The 21,838-nt window shown below is 43.1% G+C and overlaps 1 protein-coding gene across 21 annotated transcripts in view, besides 3 other annotated features; it reads left to right on the top strand.

Annotated features, from left to right (window-relative positions):
• The window catches only part of ME3 (malic enzyme 3), a 237,687-nt gene that overhangs the window by 147,202 nt on the left and 68,647 nt on the right, over positions 1 to 21,838 (top strand). For all 21 annotated transcript variants that reach the window (NR_172888.1, NR_172889.1, NR_147828.2 and 18 more), the window contains one exon: positions 16,548 to 16,623. Coding sequence is in view for 8 of the 21 variants with exons in the window: in NM_001395868.1 (NP_001382797.1) it covers positions 16,548 to 16,623 (76 nt within the window). In the remaining 13 variants the exon portion in view is untranslated. The remainder of the gene's footprint in view (positions 1 to 16,547; positions 16,624 to 21,838) is intronic.
• Positions 733 to 1,932: an enhancer, noted in NCBI's record as "MED14-independent group 3 enhancer chr11:86234525-86235724 (GRCh37/hg19 assembly coordinates)". NCBI's record gives its function as "activates an origin of replication core promoter dependent on BRD2, BRD4, P300/CBP and CDK7 cofactors, and independent of MED14, by STARR-seq in HCT116 cells {active_cell/tissue: HCT116}" and the evidence as "EXISTENCE:reporter gene assay evidence [ECO:0000049][PMID:35650434]".
• Positions 21,106 to 21,175: a silencer, noted in NCBI's record as "silent region_3827". NCBI's record gives its function as "represses an Ori minimal core promoter by ATAC-STARR-seq in GM12878 lymphoblastoid cells {active_cell/tissue: GM12878}" and the evidence as "EXISTENCE:reporter gene assay evidence [ECO:0000049][PMID:35858748]".
• Positions 21,312 to 21,512: a silencer, noted in NCBI's record as "peak1375 fragment used in MPRA reporter construct". NCBI's record gives its function as "represses an SCP1 promoter by STARR-seq MPRAs in K562 erythroleukemia cells {active_cell/tissue: K562}" and the evidence as "EXISTENCE:reporter gene assay evidence [ECO:0000049][PMID:32103011]".

Here is a 21,838-nt window from a genome sequence, read left to right as displayed (position 1 = left end):
AATGGTTTCCTGGTTATTTTGTGGATCCTCTGTTCCTTTCTTCCTCTCTTGCTGTTGTGGTTTGACTGTTTTCTGTCAACATCAAAAGTTTCTGTTAGAAACTTTTCTTCAAAGAATTAGGTATTTGAATAGAAATGTATCAGGCATTGTGCTCACTACTTTTCATATATTATCTTTAATTGTCACTGCTCTATTGGAAACATTTCATTGCCCCTATTTTACAGATGAGAAAACTGAGGCTCAACTGTAGTCATTTGTCAAGGTCACTACTAACCAGATGACCTAGAATTTGGGTCTAAGTCTGTCTGACTGTCTGCTCTGAAGCTTCCCAATAATATCAATGTTTTGCAAGTTGGAGTGGGTCTCACTGGAACTTATCCCTGACCAGAGACACACACATCTTTTCTCAATCATTTCAAAGCAAATACTTTTTTGGCCTTTAACTTTCCTGATCTTGAATGTTCTGAGATTCCTTCCTTTCGAGGGATTTGTAGTTTGGAGGCGGAACTTAGTCAAAACAACACATTAGATCAAATGTGTGCTTCTCCCCTTCCCCCTGCTTAATTGCATCTGATGAGTAATCCTTTCAGACATATAATTCCAGGCACTTAGCTGTCTCTTACATTTGCTTCCAGGGATCATGGTCCCTGAAGTTTAAGCATATGTTTTCCCAGTGAACTTCTGTGCACTTTGAAAACTGCATTCTGTTCTCTCTTATTAAATTCCAGCTTTCATAACTAATATGCAATGATAGCTCCAGAAATGTTTATCTGGTAAATTAAAGTGGGTGGGGTCTTCCACTTACAAATTACTTCAGGATAGGACTCAGATGCCTGCCCATAGAACTGCCTCATAAATGCTAGCATAAAATGGATTCGAGCTTTTACAATTTCAGCTTTTTCTTGGTTTAGGGGACTATTATCTTGGTGTATCTTCACAGGGTTCTGAGCTCCTAGCCTATTTCTTAAACTGAGGCTGCAGATTTATGATTCAGTGGAAAAAAATGTGTGACTACTTCTCAAACCTGCTTTGGAAAAACAAGCAGATAGGATGTTTTTCTCTCCTTATCTTGTAGTTACATGTAAATAAATGACTCATTGGCTGCGCCTCTGAGTCAGGGGGACAGTAATTTCAGAATCGCAGGTTTGATGATTATTTGCTTTGGATATCAAATGTTTGTATTAGAACAGAGACACATTCCAAACAACTTACTGCCCAGAGACCCAGATTCACTAGAGGCCTTCTAGACGTCAGGAAGGTGTTTGTTTTATAAAGTGGAGGCATGTGTGGGTCTGTGCCATGTTCACAGCCATAAAAGAAAGTGAAGAGTGTTAAGTGTGACTTTTCAGGGAAAGGGGCCTAAAGCCTCTGATTATTATTTCTGAAGGAGTAAATATTTTAGTAGAAAAAGAAACTTCTTTGTACCAACTCTCTCTGAGTTTCTTGGCACATTTTAATATTCTAAGTAACAGCTGAAACTACATTAACTTTCTCTGTTCTAATTGGAAACATCTGTGACTTGTGGAATTAGAATTTTTAGATTCTGAAGTGATATTCTATTTGGACAGAGGTGTCAATTTCAGCTGAAATTTCCTTCTATTCCGCCTTTTTTCCCCCTCCTGATTATAAAATGTTCAGTCAGCTAATGATGTGATGGAGGTTCAAGGCCTTCTTCATCAGCTTTTCCATGTACTCACGATTTTTAGTGAAAATTGCATGTATACTTCTTCAGCTATTTGCACACCTTATCAGCATTCTTCTTATTCAAGAAGAACAGATGGAGAAACTCTTTCAACTCTTGGAACTCAACTGGAACAATTATTTTCTGCCAAAAATAAAATCTCATAATCAAAAAAGAGGATAGAGCAATATCTGAGATTTGCAAATTCCAGGAAGAAAAAAAAGAGTACAAACAATTAGAAACCTATTTCAGTTTTTCTCTGTGTTAATAGAAGCCTGTCTTCTATAGGGCTTAGTGTTTTACAATCATCACCTGAAACTCCAACAAGAAAGGCAAGAAGGCACAATGGTTTCTTACCTGCTTTCCCTTACTACTTTGCCAACTTACCTCAGTGATATTACCTCATTTTATTGAGCTTCGTTAATCTCAGGTGTAAATGAGGACAACAACATATACCTCCCAGACTTGTGGCAGTAAGTAAATGGCATAGCATTTATAAAATGTTCCCAATGGGAGCTAAATAAATGTTGGCTTCTTTTTTTCTTCTTTCTTACTTTTTACATATGGCAACTAAGGCAATAATGACATGACTTGCCTCAGTCCAAAGATCAGGTCTTCAAGGAGCCAACAGTAGGACTGAGGTTTGCTGGTTTAACACCTTTAAGTCTCCCTCCATAGAGTTTGGCAAAGAGTGAATTGAAGACTACCAAAAAGTCATGAAGGGCAAAAGACTGTGGGTGATATATAATCAACCTCCCAGACCCCCTTCCCCCCGGATACCAAAATCCATGGATGCTCAAATCCCTGATATAAAATGGTATAGTATTTGCATATAACATACATATCCTACAATATACTTTAAATCATCTCTAGATTACTTACTATATCTAATACAATGTAAATTCTACGTAAATAGTTGTTACAAGACTTGGAACCAACCCAAATGCCCATCAGTGATAGACTGGATAAAGAAAATGTGGCACATATACACCATGGAATACTATGCAGCCATAAAAAAGAATGAGATTGTGTCCTTTGCAGGGATATGGATGAAGCTGGAAGCCATCATTCTCAGCAAACTAACACAGAAACAGAAAACCAAACTCCACATGTTCTCGCTCACATGTGGGAGTTGAACAGTGAAAACACACAGACACAGGGAGGGGAATAACATACACTGGGGCCTGTCGGCGGGTCAAGGAGGGGGCGGGGTAAGGGAAGGGATAGCATTAGGACAAATACCTAATGCATGTGGGGCTTAAAACCTAGATGACAGGTTGACAGGTGCAGCAAACCACCATGGCACATGTATACCTATGTAACAATACATTCTGCACATATATCCTAGAACCTAATGTAAAAAAAAAAAAAAGAAAAAAATAGTCATTACACTACATTTTTAATTTGTGTTATTTTTTACCATTTTTTTAATTGGCCTTTTTTTCTTAATCTGGTTTTTTGTTTGTTTGTTTGTTTGTTTGTTTGAGACAGAGTCTTGTTCTGTCACCCAGGCTGGAGTGCAATGACGCAGTCTTGGCTCACTGCAACCTCTGCCTCCCGAGTTCAAGCAATTCTCCTACCTCAGCCTCCTGAGTAGCTGGGACTACAGGTGCGTGCCACCACACCCAGCTAATTTTTGTATTTTTAGTAGAGATGGGGTTTTGCCATGTTGGCCAGGCTTGTCTCAAACTCCTGACCTTAGGTGATCTACCAACTTCGGCCTCCCAAAGTACTGGGATTACAGGTATGAGTCACCATGCCCGGCCTTTTTTCCTAGTATTTTCAATCCACAGTAGGTTGAATCCAAGATGTAGAACCTGTGGATATGGATGGCCAACTGTAAGCCACTTCACAGAGGCTTTGTGTTATTACCAGGATTTTAATTAATGACTACACAGGGAAAGGACTCAAAATAATGCTAAGAGAATGAGCTTGACTTTCTATAGTAGACACCTAGAAAATGTAGTTTTGAAATTAGTAGACTGGATCTACAGATCAGTGAGTTTTTGAGAGTGAAAAGAAAAATAAATAATTGTGTTAATAATTGTGTCAAGACACAGGGAAACTAAAGTATGTGGTTGCCCTGTCCATGAACCATAGCATGAAATTCTGTGTCTCTTGGAGAGGCAGTGACATTCATACCTTTGACAAACATTTCTTAAATTCCACCTGAAAATTTAAAGAGAGGCTCCTTTACGACTGACTTTGTACATGTATTATTTTATTTAATGCTCACACCAGCTTAGTGAGATAGATTTAATGATTACAGCTCCATTTTTTTATTATTATTATTATTATTATTTTTGTTTTGTTTTGTTTTGTTTTGTTTGTTTGTTTTTGAGATGGAGTCTCGCTCTGTCGCCCAGGCTGGAGTGCAGTGGCGCAGTCTCGGCTCACTGCAAGCTCCGCCTCCTGGGTTCACGCCATTCTCCTGCCTCAGCCTCTGAAGTAGCTGGGACTACAGGCGCCCGCCATCACGCCCGGCTAATTGTTTTGTAGTTTTTAGTGGAGACAGTGTTTCACCGTGTTAGCCAGGATGGTCTCAATCTCCTGACCTCGTGCGTGATCCGCCCGCCTCGGCCTCCCAAAGTGCTGGGATTACAGGCGTGAGCCACTACACCCGGCCACAGCTACATTTTAATAATAAGCAATGGAGATTCGGTGGAGTTAAATAATATGCCAAAGTTGCACAATAAATAAGGGTTGGATTTGGGCTTTGAACCCAGGTCTGTCTAGCTCCGAGTCACAGATAACTGCGTGCCTTGGTAGATTAGAGTCATGGAACTCTAGAGTTTTGGAAGTTATCTGTTCTACCTTCTTCATCTTACCGACTGAGGAACAGGCTCAGAGAGGTCTGGTAACTTTCCCAAACTCACATAGTTAGATATAGTCGTAGAAAAACTTACATTGCCCTTGTTCTAAATGCTCCATTCTCACATTCAGAGAAAGGAATAGACCATCTATGCAGAAATCCCTTTCTGAAGTAAACACTATGTTTGCAGGGCTGCATTAGGGGACCCATGCAATCAGTGGAAGTGGAGGATACAGTTCCTGCCCTTCTGAGCTTCAAGTCTACTGGAGGAAAATCATCCTGCAGGAACAAGAGGGAGGCAGAGAAAGGGCAGGGCCAAGGGGCCCTAGAAGGGACTCCAGGCCCAGCTCTGCAGCTCTCTAGCACTCTGTGAATTAGCCATTCTGGGCCCGCTTGTTCTCTAATTCTCGTTGGTCTTCAAATAATGTTTCTGTTATACCCCATTGCAAGGTTTTTTGGGGTTTTTTGTTTGTTTGTTTCTGATCTGACTAGATCAGAAAACCACTCTGGATCAGAGATGAAGTCTTGCTCACACTTGTTTTCCATGTACTCAGCACAATGCCTGGCGCAAAGCAGAATGCATGAAATCAGTACAGGGCCTAAGCACTTGTTAATCTCAAGTGTGGGAAATTGAGGAACCCCCATCCATTCCAGGGAGGTCCCACTGATGGAGTCACATGGACAGATGTCAGGGTCCACACCTTTACACCTGGGCTCTAAAGTCAGGAGCACTCCACATCCACTGGTTATCTGGGAGGGTCAGAAGGAAAGGGGGCCTCCATGGGGCTGGGAGGGGGACATAGCCACTCCCTCTGTAACTTCCCACCTCAGAGGCGAACAGGATAGGCTTTCCAAGGTACAGGAAGTTAGCTATGGTTGTTCAGTGGGTTCAAATAATCAAAATATTCTTCAGGATAGAAAATAACACCAAAGAAGGATTATGAGTGAACCACCACTAACATGTTCAGTTGTCTGTGGCCACCCCATCCCGCACTTCAGTCACACGTCCCTGAGGACGTTCCACAGAAAGCAGTGGAAAGTGTGATTTTAAAGCTCTTCCAAGGCATGGACAGTTACCTCACTTGAGTCTCTCCAGTTCTGCCCTCCAGGCCTACACAGCCTTCGAGGATTTCTTAGATCTGCTTCCTGGGCTTCTTAGACCTAGCTATGTTTTCTTGCTGTACTGTTGCCTCTGGGAGACTGCTACTGAGCTCTAAAAATAGCATCTTGCAGGTTCTCAGAGGACAGGTTCCCTTCCTGCCAAAAAATATGTGGAATGGTGGTTCCATTGGCAACAGCGAGCCTTTGTTAGAGTTGAAAGTGCATATCCCTCCTCCTGAGCCCAGCTGCAGGGGTTTGCCTAATGTCACTGACTCTGTTTTAATTAAGCCCTTTATTGCTGGACTTGGTGCCAAGAAGCCTAAATGAACATGTCTACTTGAGTGGGTGTTGTTCAGGGTTCTTTTTTCAATTCTATTTTAGGAAATTTGCAAGAATCACTCTTCTACAGGCCGAGATAAGGGTTAAGAGTCTTTTTCTCAAGAAATAACATTCTCCTAAGTGAACATTATCTTTGTTTTTCTTTCTCTCTCGTGTAACTGAATTCAAACATTCAAGAGGATTTTTCTGGCTCCTGATGGAAACTGAAGATAGTGATGTAATTTGCATGCCTTTGTCAGATGGAGGAAACTTCACTTACACTTGCCTTGATGAAATTCCAACAGACTTTGAGCTTTAAGAAATGTACAGGGAAGGAATTGTGATATCACCACTACTCATAGCTACTACACAAAAATTGGATGGTTGGCATATTTGCTTCCTAGGGCTACTGTATGTAACAAAATACTACAAATTGGATGGCTTAAAACAACAGAAATTTATTTTCTCATAGTTCTAACAGCAAGAAGTCCAAAATCAGGTGTCAGCAGGTCGTGCTCCCTCTGACACCTGTGGGGGACACTCCTTGCCGCCCCTTCTAGCTTCTGTTATTTGCTGGCAATCCTTGGCATTCCTTGCCTCTGGATGCATCAGTCCAATCTCTGTTTCTATCATCCCTTGGCTATTTCTTCCTGCATGTCCCTGTCTTCTCCTCTTCTTATAAGGATACCAGTGCTTTTAGATTAGGGCCCACACTAACTTCATCTTGACCACATCTGCAAAGACCCTATTCCAAATAGGGTCACAGGCACCCGACATTAGAATTTGTGGAGAGCTGAAGATCACCTCCACCACCCCATTATAGCTTTTAGTGGGCTCTTCAGCTGGTTCTAGAAGTCAAATTGACACCAGGCACATAAACAAGAGAAAAATACACAAATTGTGTTAGTTTTACATATACATGGAGATCTTAAGAGAGTGAAGTCTGTAGAAGTGGCCAAAGCAAGATGCTTTTGTGCATTTTGGATGAAGAATGATAAATTCGAGAAGAAATGACAGGACAAAGAAAATCTGGCTGGGCGTAGTAAATTTCCTAGGGGAGTCACTGGAAGATATATGGGGAATGTAAAACAGGTGGCCGATGATAAGCGTTACTTTGTTAAGTATGTTTATTCAAGTCGATCGCAGCCTCCATTTCCAAGTCTCTCATGATAAGGGCATTTTCTCACCTGGTATGGAGAGGTTACCCCTCCCAGAGGAATCTTTATCATAGGCTACATGCAGGAAAAGACAGGTCAGCTCTCCCTTTCTGAAACTACAATTTCTCCAAGTGTTTTCAACTCTAAATAATCAATTAACGAGATGGCATATTTGAGGATGGGACAGCCTTCACAACTTCAAATTTCAACATATTTTCCTGAGGGATATAACTCAAATGGCTGGAAATTTTTCTCACTCAGAAAAGGTTTGGGTGTTTTTCCACTCTCTACCATAAGTAACCAATATCAGCTACCGCTTTTGGAGAATTTACCACATGCCAAGCCCTAGGTCATGTTCCTGATATATATTCTTTTATTTAATCTTCATAGAAATACTTTGAAGTAAACATTATTATATGCCTAGTTTACAACTGTCAAAATAAAGGCCCAGCTCTGCCTCCTTCCAGCACCCATATTCTGAACAACTTACCATACCTAACACATACATCACTTATAGAGTACCTGCCATGTGCCTGGTGCTACGCTAGGCCCTGGGAACAAATGTCATCCTGCCCTCAGGGAACATGAGTCTAGTGGAAGGAGATATGCATCAGAGATATAATTTCCTAAATATCAATTACTACCTCCCAGTGTCATAGCATCATTTCCCACAAGGAATTCTTTTCCTTTGCTCTCATTGCCAGAGGTCTGTTGAAAGAACAGTGGATGCTGAGATGAAAAGCAGTGCAAAGTCCCTCAAAAAGGGGGTTCCCTCACTTCTACTTTAATCAGAGCTCCAACATGTCGACAGGTTGGAGCTCTGATTAAATTGGAACTGAGCATCTCTGGACATCTTTATTGAACAAACAAAATGTTTCTTAGCCATATTATGCTGAGGAACAAACAACCCTAAAATCTCAATGCCTAAAGCACAGTTTATTCTGTGCTCTGCACCATGTGTCTCTGACCCCCACATCTAGGGACTGTGCTCTATGTCACCCTCACACTGGATGCAGGCTAATGAAGTAGTCTTATCTGGAACTCTACAGGTTATGTGGCAAAAAGAAAAAGAGAAGATGGTAAATCACACTGACTCTGAAACACTCCCACCCAGAGGTGCCATGTTGCATTTTATTGGCCAAAGCAGGTCACCGGGCTGTGCTTTATTTCAACAAATCATGGAAGGGCAGCCTGCCTTGTGCTTGCAAGAGAGAACAGAATATATTTACAGAACAGAATGAATTGCTTCCACGAAGGACAGAAAGAAGTTTTAACCCTGTTCCAGGATGAACAGCCCATAACAAATATGCCTTTCAGACCAAATGAAATAAGTATTTGAAGGAATAGATCAGGTACTCCGTGCAATTTTTGTTAAATGACCATTCCCTTCCCTCTCTGCCTACTTAACCCAAAGCTCCATGCAGCAGAAGCCATGCCCCTTCTCTGGCCACTCATTTGGTCAGTGGGCCCTGATGACCAAGCACTAGCTAAGAGAGAACCTGTGGTCTTTTTTGGAAATGAAAGTAGGAAAGTCCAAATGTGAAAGCCATGAATCAGGGGACAGTGATGTATGTTCCTGAGCAATTCCCTGTAGCTTCCCTTTAAACAGCAACCTCCTGAGTACACATACAATATAATTTTAGATATAGATATTAGGCCAGGCACGGTGGCTCATGCCTGTAATCCCAGCACTTTGGGAGGCTGAGGTGGGTGGATCACTTGAGGTCAGGAGTTCAAGACCAGCCTGGCCAACATATAGTGAAATCCCATCTCTACTAAAAATACAAAAAATTAGCTGGGCATAGTGGCACATGCCTGTAGTCCCAGCTACTTGGGGAGCTGAGGCAGGAGAATCACTTGAATCTGGGAGGCAGAGGTTGCAGTGAGCAGAGATCATGCCACTGTACTCCAGCCTGGGTGACAGAGTGAGACTCCATCTCTCAAAACATATATATATATATACACACACACACAAAGAGAGAGAGAGAGAGAGATTTTATTTACTCACAACTTTTCAGGAATAAACTGTATTTTATGTAAAGCAAGACATCTATTTGTTTAAACCCTGGATTCCATAGGTAGGTAGCATGCCATATCCACCATATATTTTTCCATCCCTCAAGTTCCAAAATTGATTCCCTGAAGTAAACAGGAAAAACTTGGGAGAAGTAATCAGTAGCTAAAATTATTTTTGTTTTTGTCCTGTTCCAGTTAATGGCTATTAAAAGCAAGATTTCCATGACTGCTTCTATTCCAGATGCCCATGTTCTCAGCTCTAGGAGTAGCAAAAGAAGTTGCATTCTAATGACTCAGAGGAGTCATTAGCCTTGATGAGTGTTCAGATTGCAGTAACTCACTGCAGGATGTTTAGTGCCTTGGGATCCCCGGGCAGCCTATAATTTGCTCAAAAGCTGGAAATGTTTCTGCACCTCTGCAGAGCCTGGCCTGCGGCTTCCTGTGTTTTCCCACCTTCCTGCCTCCCATTGTGCCTCAGAGCAGGATAATACCACTTTAAACATGTCACATTAGCTGTCAAAGGGGTTTTGACTCATTCTCAAGGAGAGAAGATTGAAACAGACCCAGCTGTGGAATACAGAGAGCTCCTTGGCACCTAAATGACTACCCCAATCATCCGTAAAGAGCTGCCAGGAAACCATATCAGCGGGATCTCAGGGAGGCTCACTTTAGCACCCCCTTCAGACTTACCAGACTGGACGAGGTTAGACAAATATTAAGATTCAAGTGTCTACAGGGTTTTACAGTGTGCAGAGATTTTGCAAATTTGCCTTGTTTGATTCTCACAGTCATTCCCGTAATGGAGAAACCAATGTCCCCATTTTACAGCTGAGAAAACTAAGGCACAGAGAGGTGAAGTGACTAGTCCCAAGTCACACACCTATAGGGGCCATGTTTCTGGGATCTAAGAGCCCTGTGTTCTAATCTCACCTCCACCTTCACAGATCTACCTCTTAATCTCATCTGTAAAATGATGGCGATGCCCTCTGGATAGTGTTGCAAGAGCATTATGACAATGTACATAAAGGGCCTGCCAGTGTCCCTGGAACAGAGATACTCAAAAAAAGCTCATTAAATAAAAATAAATGTTGCCTTTTTGTGTGTGACATGTTTTCCCTTGATCTCTTTCTCACTGAATATTAGCTTTTGCGGGGAACATGGAAAATTAGTCCCAATTGTGCATCACCAAAGATCCTTATATTTTGTTCCTACTCAGTGACCCATATAATGAAAGATTTTCTACCTGCCATACTTTATTTACAACCGTCTTCTTATTTCAGTAACACACATAACTATTCATCATGGCTCCTGACAAACATGCATACTAAAATGGATGATTCTAGCTAAAACACTAATTTGTAATTATTTACAAACATTTACCAAATACTTACTATGAGCCAAATATCTCTCTGGACATTTTGCCAGCATCTGAGCCCAGGCGATCTGACTCCCGAGCCCACACTTTTAACCTCTGAACTAAGATCAGCAACACTAACAGCTACCATTTGTTATGTATTTACTATGGGCCAGCAGACACTGTAATGTATTTTTTAAAGATACATTGACTTATTTAATCATTGTAACAAATAAGTGTATGGTGCAGGTGGTGTCACTTCTTCCATTTTACACATGAGGAACTGAAGCTTGAAGAAGGGAAGTAACTTACTCATAGCCATGTAGCTAGGAAGTAATAGAGCTGGGTTTCGAGCCTGCATTTGCAAAGCACATACATTAAACCCCTAGTCTATGCTACATTCTCTCTAACATTTCTGTGAACCATCACTTGAGTTGTTTGAAGCCTCATCACTTGTCAGTGCTTTGTATGATTGGAAATCACTTGAAAATCCCCATTCCAGCCTCAGGAACTCCTGTGGGTCTGAGATCTCAGGGTGAAACTAAGCAGGCCTAGGTAGGAGCACCTCCTGAGGCACCTAAATATTCTTCCTGAAGCCACTAAGAAGGAATGCAGAGGGGTTAGTGTCTGCATTTCTCAGGTGATCAGAATCTCATGTGTATCAGTCCATTCTCATGCTGCTATAAAGAAATAACAGAGACTGGGTAATTTATAAAGAAAAGAGATTTAATAGACTTGCAGTTCCACATGGCTGGGGAGGCCTCAGGAAACTTATGATTATGGTGGAAGGCAAAGGGGAAGCAGGCACCTTCTTCACAAGGTTGCAGGAGAGAGAAATGCAAGCAGGGGAAATGCCAGATGCTTATAAAACCATCAGATCTCATGAGAACTCACTCACTATCACAAGAACAGCATGTGGGAAACTGCCCCCATGATCCATTCACCTCCCTCTCTCTGCATGTGGGGATTACAGGTTCCTCCCTTCACACGTGGGGATTACAATTCAAGATGAGATTTGGGTGGGGACCCAGAACCACCATATCATCATGGAAACAGATAAGAACCAACCCCATCACTAGTTACTGCTGGAGAAAATGGTATCTTCTGAGTGAAAATAGGCTAAATCTGTAAATACATTGCTGAGGTCATTGAAGAGGTATTCTTCCCTGGGGGTACTATATCTTCTCTGAGCTGCTTTAGATGCAGTACTACCAGGAAATGGAAGGATGGGCAAGGTTCTGACTGGCACCTGCAATACATTTGCTTATCATCATAATCCCTAGCCCCGCACATTTTACTTCCTCAATATACTTCAAAGAAAACTATTAGGGACCCCAATGTGCATTTCTGTTTGGTACAATTCCCACCTCTAGGTGTCTGTCAAGAACTAGATCCTTGAGAAAACCAATATTCTGCATTAGTGGAAAGTGCATCGGACTCAGGATCCTGGTTCAGGTGGACCCAGCTGCTTATGAGCTGTGTGACCTTGGACAAGTGACTTCACCTCTCTGGACTTTAGTGTCCTTATTTATAAAATAAAGTCTTTGGACTAGACATCTCAAAATCCCCAGCCAGGGCAATCCTTTCAAAATCCTTTGTAGCTAGCCGCAGTTTAGGCAATAGATGGAAAAGCACTTTGAGAAGTGGTTAAAAGCTCTTAACACATTTCAAAAGGTGTTATTTTTGCAGAGCAGAGCATGAAATTATACATATAGAAAAAGAAAAAAGAACTTTGAAATTTTAGTAGCTCAAACTTAAATGTAAAAATGTTCATTTTAAGTGTCCCTCCTCTCTCTCCTTCTTATCTTCAACAAAGAGGGCCTATTTTAATGTACACAGATAATTTAAGTATTCACACCTATCCTGTGTTTAACCACACCAGAGCTTTGGTAAGGTCTAAAATAGTGCATGGATCTTACCCCTTTGTTTGCCTTCTCCATTGATAAGAGTTGTTAAGAGTCTTCCTCTTCCTGGTAAGAGAGAAGGAGGCATCTCTTCAAGTGGAGATTTCCTTTACAGAAGTAAATTTCCTTTACAAAAGAAAAACTTGTGCCCTGTTTTTAGAGCTTTTCCTGCCTCTGGTTATTCTAGATGGTCTTTAGCTCAAAATAATCTACAGGTCAAACAGACACATTTTAGGATGGCATATTCTGGTACCCTTCACCTGGACCTTGCTCTCAAACCTTATGAGTAAGTTAATTCAAATACCTACCCTGCCCCACTTTAGTGCGGTAAATGGAGCCCTGCACTCCCCAAGTCTTAAAGTCTGGTGTTTTCCTCTTTCCTGGTTCATCTACCATCTCCACATGCTTATTTTCCTGCTCTAAGCCACAGGCAACAGCACAACCCACATGATCCCTTGAACATGATACAACATAGCACACACACAAGTTGCCTTTGTTCCAACTCTCTTCCAGCTTTATTCAACACTTTTCATCCTCATCCCTCAACTATCATTATCATCTTTAATGTATCCATTTTCCATTTATTCAGAAATTGTGCATTGCACATCTATTATGGACTAAGTTTAGGGATATAGTGGTGAATAATAACAACAAAAATAGATGCACACTTTGCCCTCTGAAGTTCACAGTCTAATGAGGGCGATGGGGATTATTAATCAAATAGCCACACAAATAAATGTGACAAGTTTGTTTATGTAGGGATGGAGTACTTTGAGAGCATACAGGAGAGAGCCTCTACTTTGAATTGGAAGTTATCAAGAGCATGAGTATGAATTAACTAAAGAGTGAGGAGAAGCATGCGTATTAGGCAGAAGGAATGGTATGTGAACTTGTAATTGCCCAATGGGTTCTTCTTGCCCACTGTACAGACAAAAGCAATTCACGAAGACCATGGTATTGCAGTAAAGGAAGGGTTTAATTAACACAAGGCAGCTGAGAGGAGGGAGTGGCTTAGCCTCCTGAGAACTCAGAGGCTAGGGATTTTATGGATAATTTGGTGGGCAGGAGGCTAGGGAATGGGCACTGCTGATTGGGGATGAAATGATAAGAGTGTGGAAAATGGTTCTTGCGCACTGAGTCCACCTCCAGGTAGGGGCCACAGGACCATTTGAGTCATGAGTCATGGGTCTTGGTGGGGTCAGCTGGTTGCCAGAATGCAAAAATCTGAAAAACATCTCAAAAGACCAATCTTAGGTCCTACAATAGTGATGTTATCTACAGGAGCAACTAGGGAAGTCAAAAATCTTGTGACCTCGAGCCACATGGCTGTTGAGCAGTAAGGGATTATAGAAACTATGCCTACATTTCAGCAGAGGTCAGGCCCTTTCCATAATCCTAATCTTGCGGCCTTTCCTTAGTCTTACAAAGGCAGTTTCAGCCCCCAAAACTGAACAAGGAAGGGATCAGTTTCATGGAGAGACTATTATCACACTTGCTTCAAAGTTAAATTAGAAACTAAATTCCTCCCATGGTTAGCCTGGCCCTGCCCAATAATGAGTGAGGACAGCCAGCCTGTGAGACTAGAAGCAAAATGAAGTCAGCCATGCTAGATTTCTCTCACTGTCATAATCTTTGCAAAGGCGGTTTCAAAGTAGCACTGGAGTAGGAAGAACATGGCACATAAAGGAATGGAAAAAGACCAGTGTGGCTGAAGAGTGTGGAGTGAGAAGAGGAGTGGAACAAGATGAAGTAAGGAAGTTGGCAAGACCCAGACAAGATTCTGTAGGCGTGTTGAGGACTTTGGTCTTTATTCTATTTTTAGCACAAGAAGTAAAACAATGAGTCATTGATTTCAAGAACATCACTCTCACTAGCATATAGAAAATAGGAGAGAGGCAAGAGTGGATGTTACAAGATTATTGCAGCACTTCAGGCAACAGATATTGGAAGCGTGGATAAAGGAGGTAGTGTTACTGATGAAAGAAGTGTTTGAACCAGGAGTTATTTAGAAAGTACAAATGAAGAACTTGGCAACGGGTTGTATAAAAGAAGGGAGGAGACCATCAAGGATGATTTCAAGGGGTTGGAATTGTTAAATTAGTTATGTCGGGGAAATATTCACTGAGAAAGGGAGTAGGAAAGAGAATCAGTTTTGTCTTGAGTCTTTGTTTTTTCTTGTCTTTGAGTCATAATGGTGGAAGATTAGATGATAAATTTGGTTTGGTACATGCTAAGTTTGAAGTACCTTTGAGGTATGCACAGGGAAATATCAGGTAGGCAGTTAAATAAAAGGTCTAGTGCAGTGGCTCTAAAATCAGGGATAATTTTTTTCCTCCAGGGGACATTTGCCAACGTCTGGAGATATTCTTGGTTGTCACAATGTAGTGAGAGGTGCTATTGGTATCTGGAAAGTAGAGGCCAAGGATGTTGCCAAACATGCTACAATGTGCAGGACAACCACACCCCTCACAGCAAAGAATTATCCAACCCAAAATGTCAATAGTGCCAAAGGTGAGAAACGCTGGTCTATAGATATTTGAGAGTCATTGGCCAAAAGCCTTGGGTATTTATAAGATCACAAATAGAAAGAATAAGAGTAAGAAAAAAAGTGGCATAGTACAGATTTTTGAGGAACTTTAATGCATAATGGCGGGATGACTTACCCAACATAAGAGACTGAGAAGGAGCCACAGAGAAGTAGGAGGAAAACTCAAAGAAAATGGAGTCACAAAAGCCAAATTTTGGGTAGGGGAGTGATGAAAAGTGTCAGATGCTACCAAGAAGACAAAGGAAATGGGGACTGATGAGTGTTCATTGCACTTAGGAATGTGAAGGTCATTGGTAGCCTTTGCAAGAGCAGTTTTGGTAGGACGATGTTGAGACAAGACATACTGCAGTGGGTTGAGAAATGAATGGAAGATGAACAAATGGAAGCAGTTAGTGTAGGCAATGCTTTTAGGAAGTTTGGCAATGGAAGGGAGGAGAGTGAAAGAACAGTCCTGGCAAGAAATGTGGAGGTCAAGAACAGTTTGGGGTTCAGTGATTTTTTTGGTGTTTTATTTTGTTTTAATTTTTTTATTATGGAAAATTTCTTACATATATAAAGTAAGCAGAATATTACAATGGACTTCAATGTACCCTAGATTCTATGGACTCTGGATTCTCTTTTATTTCTCAGATGAGTAATGTTTGTTCTAGGAGGGAGTTGATTTGGCTGGACTCAAATTCTCAACTCTGTCTCTCCTAATCAGCAACAACTTAAATCTCTGCTTGGTTCTTTCAGATTCCAGCTGTACTTTTTTTTTTTTTTTTTTTGCCAATCCCCCTGTGTGTGCATAGTTTAGTGGTCAGCCAATAATTTGGGTAGATTGGGGAGTTTATCCTTTCCGCGGCTTATTCCCTTCCAGAACCCACCCCCTCTTCATTTCCTGGCTTCTCTTCTAGCCCCAACTCTATTATCTGATACCTCAAGCTATTAAGACTTTGGCCTCCTGTTGCCCCAAGTTGCCTGCAGATTGGACTGCCTTCAGGCAAAAAGCTGCAAACTTGCAAATCCCAAAAGGTATAATTCCTGCTTTCAAAGCTTGATTCCCCTCCAATATCTGTCTGCTCTTGACCAAACCCCATTGCCTTCGCACATGCGTGTGTGTGTGTGTGTGTGTGTGTGTGTGTGATGATGGAGTAGCTCAAGACTGTCACTAACCTCTCTTCCCATCCCCAGCTCCATCCCCCACTGCAAGAACCTCATGCACATGTGTCTGAACATCCCAACCCCCATGTCCAAGTTTCAGTCACGGACTCAGGCCTAGGGATCCAGCTACTGCAGTGTGGTCTGTACTTGGGAGGAGGGACCTGGAAAAGAGGCCCAAACAGTCCCTGGAATCAGCCTTGGGGTCATTTGGTCAGGGAATTCTGGCATCTTGGGTACTGGTCTAGAGGAAGGAAAAAAGGGCACAGACTCTGGGGAGCACAGGCTCCATGTGGGCACACCCCATGGCCCCATGGACTCCTTGCCCTGTGGAGAGAAGCAATTGGAAGAAAGCCAGAGGATGACCCTCTAAACTGCTGGGGCCTCGGGCAGGAATCTTTCTTGCCCAGGTCTATGGGCAAATTTAATTAATGCAATACCTAGTACTATGGACTTTGCTCAGTTCCTAATCTGACTGCCTGGTTTCTCTGTGTGTACGTGTTTTATTTCTTTTAGTGGACTGTTCATCACCATTCATGACAAAGGTCATCTTGCAACAATGCTGAATTCTTGGCCAGAAGACAATATTAAGGTATGATCCCGTTTTCATTGCTATTTAATCATTGTTGGGTGAATCATTTCAGCCTAAACCAGAGTCATTTCCATCTATAAAATGAGCCATTATGACACTGAAGGCAGCATACTACCTCCCATTCCTAAGCCACAGACCTGTTATAGCCAAGTACAAATACACCACAGAGCAGAGGTTTGCATTAACCAGGCATCCATGTGACATTGCCCTTCATTATTGTGATTATTAGTCTGAAGATATGTTCAGCATGTGTTGAGTCCTTGCTAAATATATGGTGCCAGTTTCCATGGTAGACGCAGAGAGAAATCAGGCATAGACCCTCTTCTCGAGTAGCTGACATGTTATATGGAAAATAAGCCAAAGGCACAAAAGACTAACAAGGTGGAACTTGTCCAGAGATAAATAAAGTACACGAAAAGAACTGAGGGTGTTCTTCTAGAGGCAATGACGATTTTTAGCCTGAGGAGATTCAGGGATGACTTCCTGGGGGAAGTGACAGTGGAGCTGGGCCTTGAATTTAGGGGTAGGCTGTGGACAGTTAGGTAGTGGAGAGACTAGGCTGTGGAGTGAGGACATTCTGTACCAAGAGTAAAAGCCTATGATGGACAATATCTTCACACTTGGGTATGTGTACCCTGGGAGTACACAGCAGTGTGGGGGTGGGGATGAGGGGCATAAATGTAGAATGACAAAATAAACCTGCCACTTCTTCCAGGAGCATCCATTTTACTCAAAAATTTAAGAAGAAAACATTTCTGTATACCAAACAATATACGTTATAGAATGCAAAAGTTGCCATATTTTTTTTTTTTTTTGAGACAGAGTCTCACTCTGTCGTCCAGGTTGGAGTGCAGTCACAGATTATTGCAACCTCAATCTCCTGGGCTCAGGTGATCCTCCCACCTCAGCCTCCCCCGTAGCTGGGACGACAGGCATGGGCCACTATGCCTGGGTAATTTTTTGTATTTTTTTGCAGAGATAGGGTTTTGCCATGTTGCCCTGACTGGTCCTGAATTTCTGGGCCCAAGTGATCTGTCCATCGACGCCTCCCAAAATTCTGGGATTACAGGCGTGAGCCACCGTGCCTAGTGATGTTAATTTTTATACATAAAACATGCAACTTTGTAGAAATGTATTAGCCTCTGGCTAAATCCCCAGATCTCCTCCTGCTATAGAGATGTCTATGGAGGAGTTTGAGGGGTTCTGGTATCTAAGATCATTGTTACTTCTGGAAACAAAATGGGTGTGGCAAAAATGCAGAACATCCACTGGCTGGGTGGTAAGGGCATTTTTGGCACCTGAGCTGGGGAGGGGTTGGTGCTGACCAAGCATAGTACAAGGAACTTCCAAGGCCAATGCTCACATCACCCTGCCTTGCCTGGGAGGCCATGGTACTCCAACACATCTACTCTGGAAGAGCTCCCTGGAAGTTCAGATACAGAGAAGGTATATGGGCCCATATTTGAGGAGCTCAAAGTCTAGTTAGAAAGACTGATCCAGAAACAGTGACAGTACACTGTGTCTGTGCTGCCAAAGAGAGAACCATGGCCTCTCTCTCTTTTTCCCTGCCCATTCCCTGAGCCCCTCCACCCTTCTCCACTGGACACCAAATATAGCTTCTTTCTGTCTACCTCCCTTTATGTCCTACCCACTCCTGGTTCTCTCCAGGGAATGATATTACTTAAAAACAGAGCAGGTTGGGGACAGAACCTTGGCCCTCAGGAGCCAGGCTCGAGCCATAGCCAAGGCCCTAGTCCTAGCTCATTTTTTACATCTGTGTCTGGGTATCATTTTGCCTTGTGCTTCTCCCTCCTGCTTATCTGCTTAGACTCCAGGTATATGTCCTGCAGGCCCTGCAGGTTTTGGTCCCAGGCCCAGAGAAGCAAGTTTCCACAGCATGTCTAGCATGAATCTATAATAAAATCTTGAGGACATTAAGGGAAGCCAGCTTACTGGATGGACTAATCTGAGTGGATATGCTGCTGGGGTCCTGTAAAGTTATCTCTTTCACTCACATTCCTGGACAGTTCAACCATGGGGAAAACTTGGACATAGGAGGCACTCAGTAGATGCTTACACAGAGTTGGATGAATTCAGTTGATAGACATGCTGAGCATCTTCCATGTCACAGATACTGTGCCAGGAGGTTCTCCACTAATACTTTCGGTGCTTTTGTGCAAATTATGAGGAACTAGAAAGAATGATGAAAAGGTACCTCTGTTTAACAAAAAGGCACCCTTTCCTCCAACCTGACACAGGGGCTTGGTGAGGGGATCATGGACTCAATTTCAGGTTTCAATTGTTCCTCTTATCAGGGCACAACTGTATCAAGGGCCTTGCTGTGAGGAATGCAAAATGAGAAAAACATGGACTCTGCCCTCAAATTGCTTCGTATTGTGGTTGGGAAACCAAGATGTAAATTCAAAATAGAACCTTAGGAGCTAAATATCTATTGACTTCAATAAACATATTTTGAGAACCTTCTAAATACTGAATGCTAATTGCCAAAGAGATGAAGACCACAACCGCTGTGATTTTAGAGGAAGAGAAACAGGGCTTTGGGCACCCTGGAAGAGGTAGGACTCCAGCAGGCCCCAAATAAGAGAGACATCCAGAGCCTCTAGGAGAATGTTAAGTTGCATGAGCAGATCCGGGACCATGATAGTGAATTCAGTTGCATTCAACCATCTTTTAGTAAACATCTACTCTGGAAGAGCTCCCTGGAGGTTCAGATACAGAGAATGTATAGGAGCCCATACTCAAGGAGCTCGAAGTCTAGTTAGAAAGACTGATCCAGAAACAGTGACAGTACATTGCATCTGTGCTGCCAAAGAGAGGACCCCAGAGGACAAGGGGCAGACAGGTGACTGGCTGCCCACCCACCCTGTGGTACCGCAGAGTACACAGGTGAGTGCCTGGGACCACCTCCATCCTTTATTCCTGTCTCACTTTGAAGAAACCTGGAGATCAGTCCCAGCGACTATGTAGAGGAATCAGACCCAGCTTTGCAATAAGACAGCCCTGGATTCTGGCCATGAAGCTTCACTTACCTGCTGCGTGTGCAGATATCCTCTCTGAGCTTTGCTTTCCTATTGTGAGGATTAACTATGATAAAGTCTATACACATCGAAGGGCACTTGAATGGATACTGTCATCACTGGAGGTGGTGGAGGCAGCTGTAGCCCACACCGCAGTACAGTCAGGGCCTGAGGGGGCTCCCTTAACCTGGGAATCACAGGCCACAAATGAGCAGTCAAATGATTCGACCCCTAAACATATTTGATTTGGCTCTTAGTGGTTTTCCAACATTTTGAATTTGTAGGCAACATTTTTAAATCAGGAGATTTCATGAGAAATATATATCCAAGCACTTGGATTTCTGGCTTCTCTGGAAAAGCCAGGAGCTCTGAATATTGGGCCTGTAGTTTGGCATGTGAACAGGTCCACTAGAGCTGATTGGACTGCCTCTGGCTTACCCCAGACCCCTCCCTGCCCTACCCACTGGCCTTTTTCTGGAGGTTCCTCCCCCCCCACCCCTAGGTGCCCTTTTAAAGGTTTAGAATTTCCAAGCCACAGTCTTTCTTGTTTTCTGATGTGTATTTTTCAGTTACTTTAGAAAGTGGAGAGGAAGGTCTCCCTACCTAGGTAGGGAGTCTCTGCTCATCATTCTTTCATAGCACTTGGGAACTGATGCAGAACCTCTTCTTCACTACTTCATTCTGTTCCCACAGTCACTGGGAGAAGTTGGAGTAAGGACTTCTGAAACCCCCAGTGTGGGTCCTGAAGAATGTGTAGGAGTGAGACTGTGCATGGTGGCTCACGCCTGTAATCCCAGCACTTTGGGAGGCTGAGGCGGGCGGATCACTTGAGGTCAGGAGTTTGAGCACAGCCTGGCCAACATGGTGAAACCTCATCTCTACTAAAAATATAAAAATGAGCTTGGCGTGGTGGCAGGCGCCTGTAGTCCCAACTATTCAGGAGGCTGAGCCAGGAGAATAGCTTGAACCCGGGAGGCGGAGGTTGCAGTGAACCTTGTGCCACTGTACTCCAGCCTGGGCAACAGAGCAAGACTCTGTCTCAAAAACGAAAACAAAAAAGGGCTGGGCACAGTGGCTCAAGTCTGTAATCCCAGCATTTCGGGAGGCCGAGGTGGGCAGATCACCTGAGGTCAGGAGTTTGAGACCAGCCTGGCCAACATGGTAAAACCCCGTCTCTTCTAAAAATACAAATATTAGTTGGGTGTGGTGGCACACACCTGTAGTCCTCCCAGCTTCTCGGGAGGCTGAGGCAGGAGAATCACTTGAGCCTGGGAGGCAGAGGTTGCAGTGAGCCGAGATCAGGCCACTGCATTCCAGTCTGGGAGAGAGTAGTGAGACTCTGTCTCAAAAAAAAAAAAAAAAAAAAAAAAAAAGAATGTATAGGGTTGTGTCTCAGATGAGCAAACTGAGGTTAAGTGACTTGTCTGAGGTTACCCACAATTAAGTGTTGGTGCCCAGCCCAGAGCTGTGGTTCTAAGTCATTTCTCCAGCAACTGCTAAGTGGGGGAGACAGAGTTTTTCAAGGCACAGGTATCTTTAGGCCTGTTGCTAGCTGCTTGCCTAGAAAGAGGAGTGGTTCAGAGGAGCCTCTGAATCAACTCAGAAAGTAAAAAATGACTTTCTATGGTTTCCCAGCAAGAAAGCAGAGTTGAAAACTGCAATGTAAGAAAAGTAGGCTGCGATGGAAATGGAGCCAAAGCCCAGGGCTGGGGAGACCACGAAGTTTTGTGGGACTTGCTTTTCAGGAAGGAGGGGGCGGGCCAGGCCAGGCTGCCTTGAGCTGTCCAGCGTAAATCACAAAGAGGAGTGAGAACTGCTTTTCTGACTTTTTCCCACAGTGGCCATTGCCTGGAGCCTATAGGAAGGTCCAGCTGAGAATAGCCTCCTCCCTAACAGTTTTCCCAAGCTCCTAAATCTCTCCCTCACCCCAGTCCCAGGAGCTTCGCAGGAGGAGGTTCTGAGAGCCAAGGGACCCTCCTCTGCTACTGGGCACATCCTCTGTAAACAGCCACTTAGGTGTTTATACTTAGAGCGGATTGCTAGTGCCAAGTGCCTACCTATCATGCATTGGCCCAGTCTGTGTTAAACCCCACTCTGTGCTCATTGTCAGAGGTTAGATTTCCTGAAAAACAGTCTCAGAGACGTATTAGGGAGTGCTCTTTTGTCAGTCAACACTT

The sequence above is a fragment of the Homo sapiens genome, chromosome 11 (genome assembly GCF_000001405.40).
Source record: "Homo sapiens chromosome 11, GRCh38.p14 Primary Assembly".
Lineage (NCBI taxonomy): Eukaryota > Metazoa > Chordata > Mammalia > Primates > Hominidae > Homo > Homo sapiens.
This window is presented reverse-complemented; position numbering and strand designations above follow the sequence as displayed.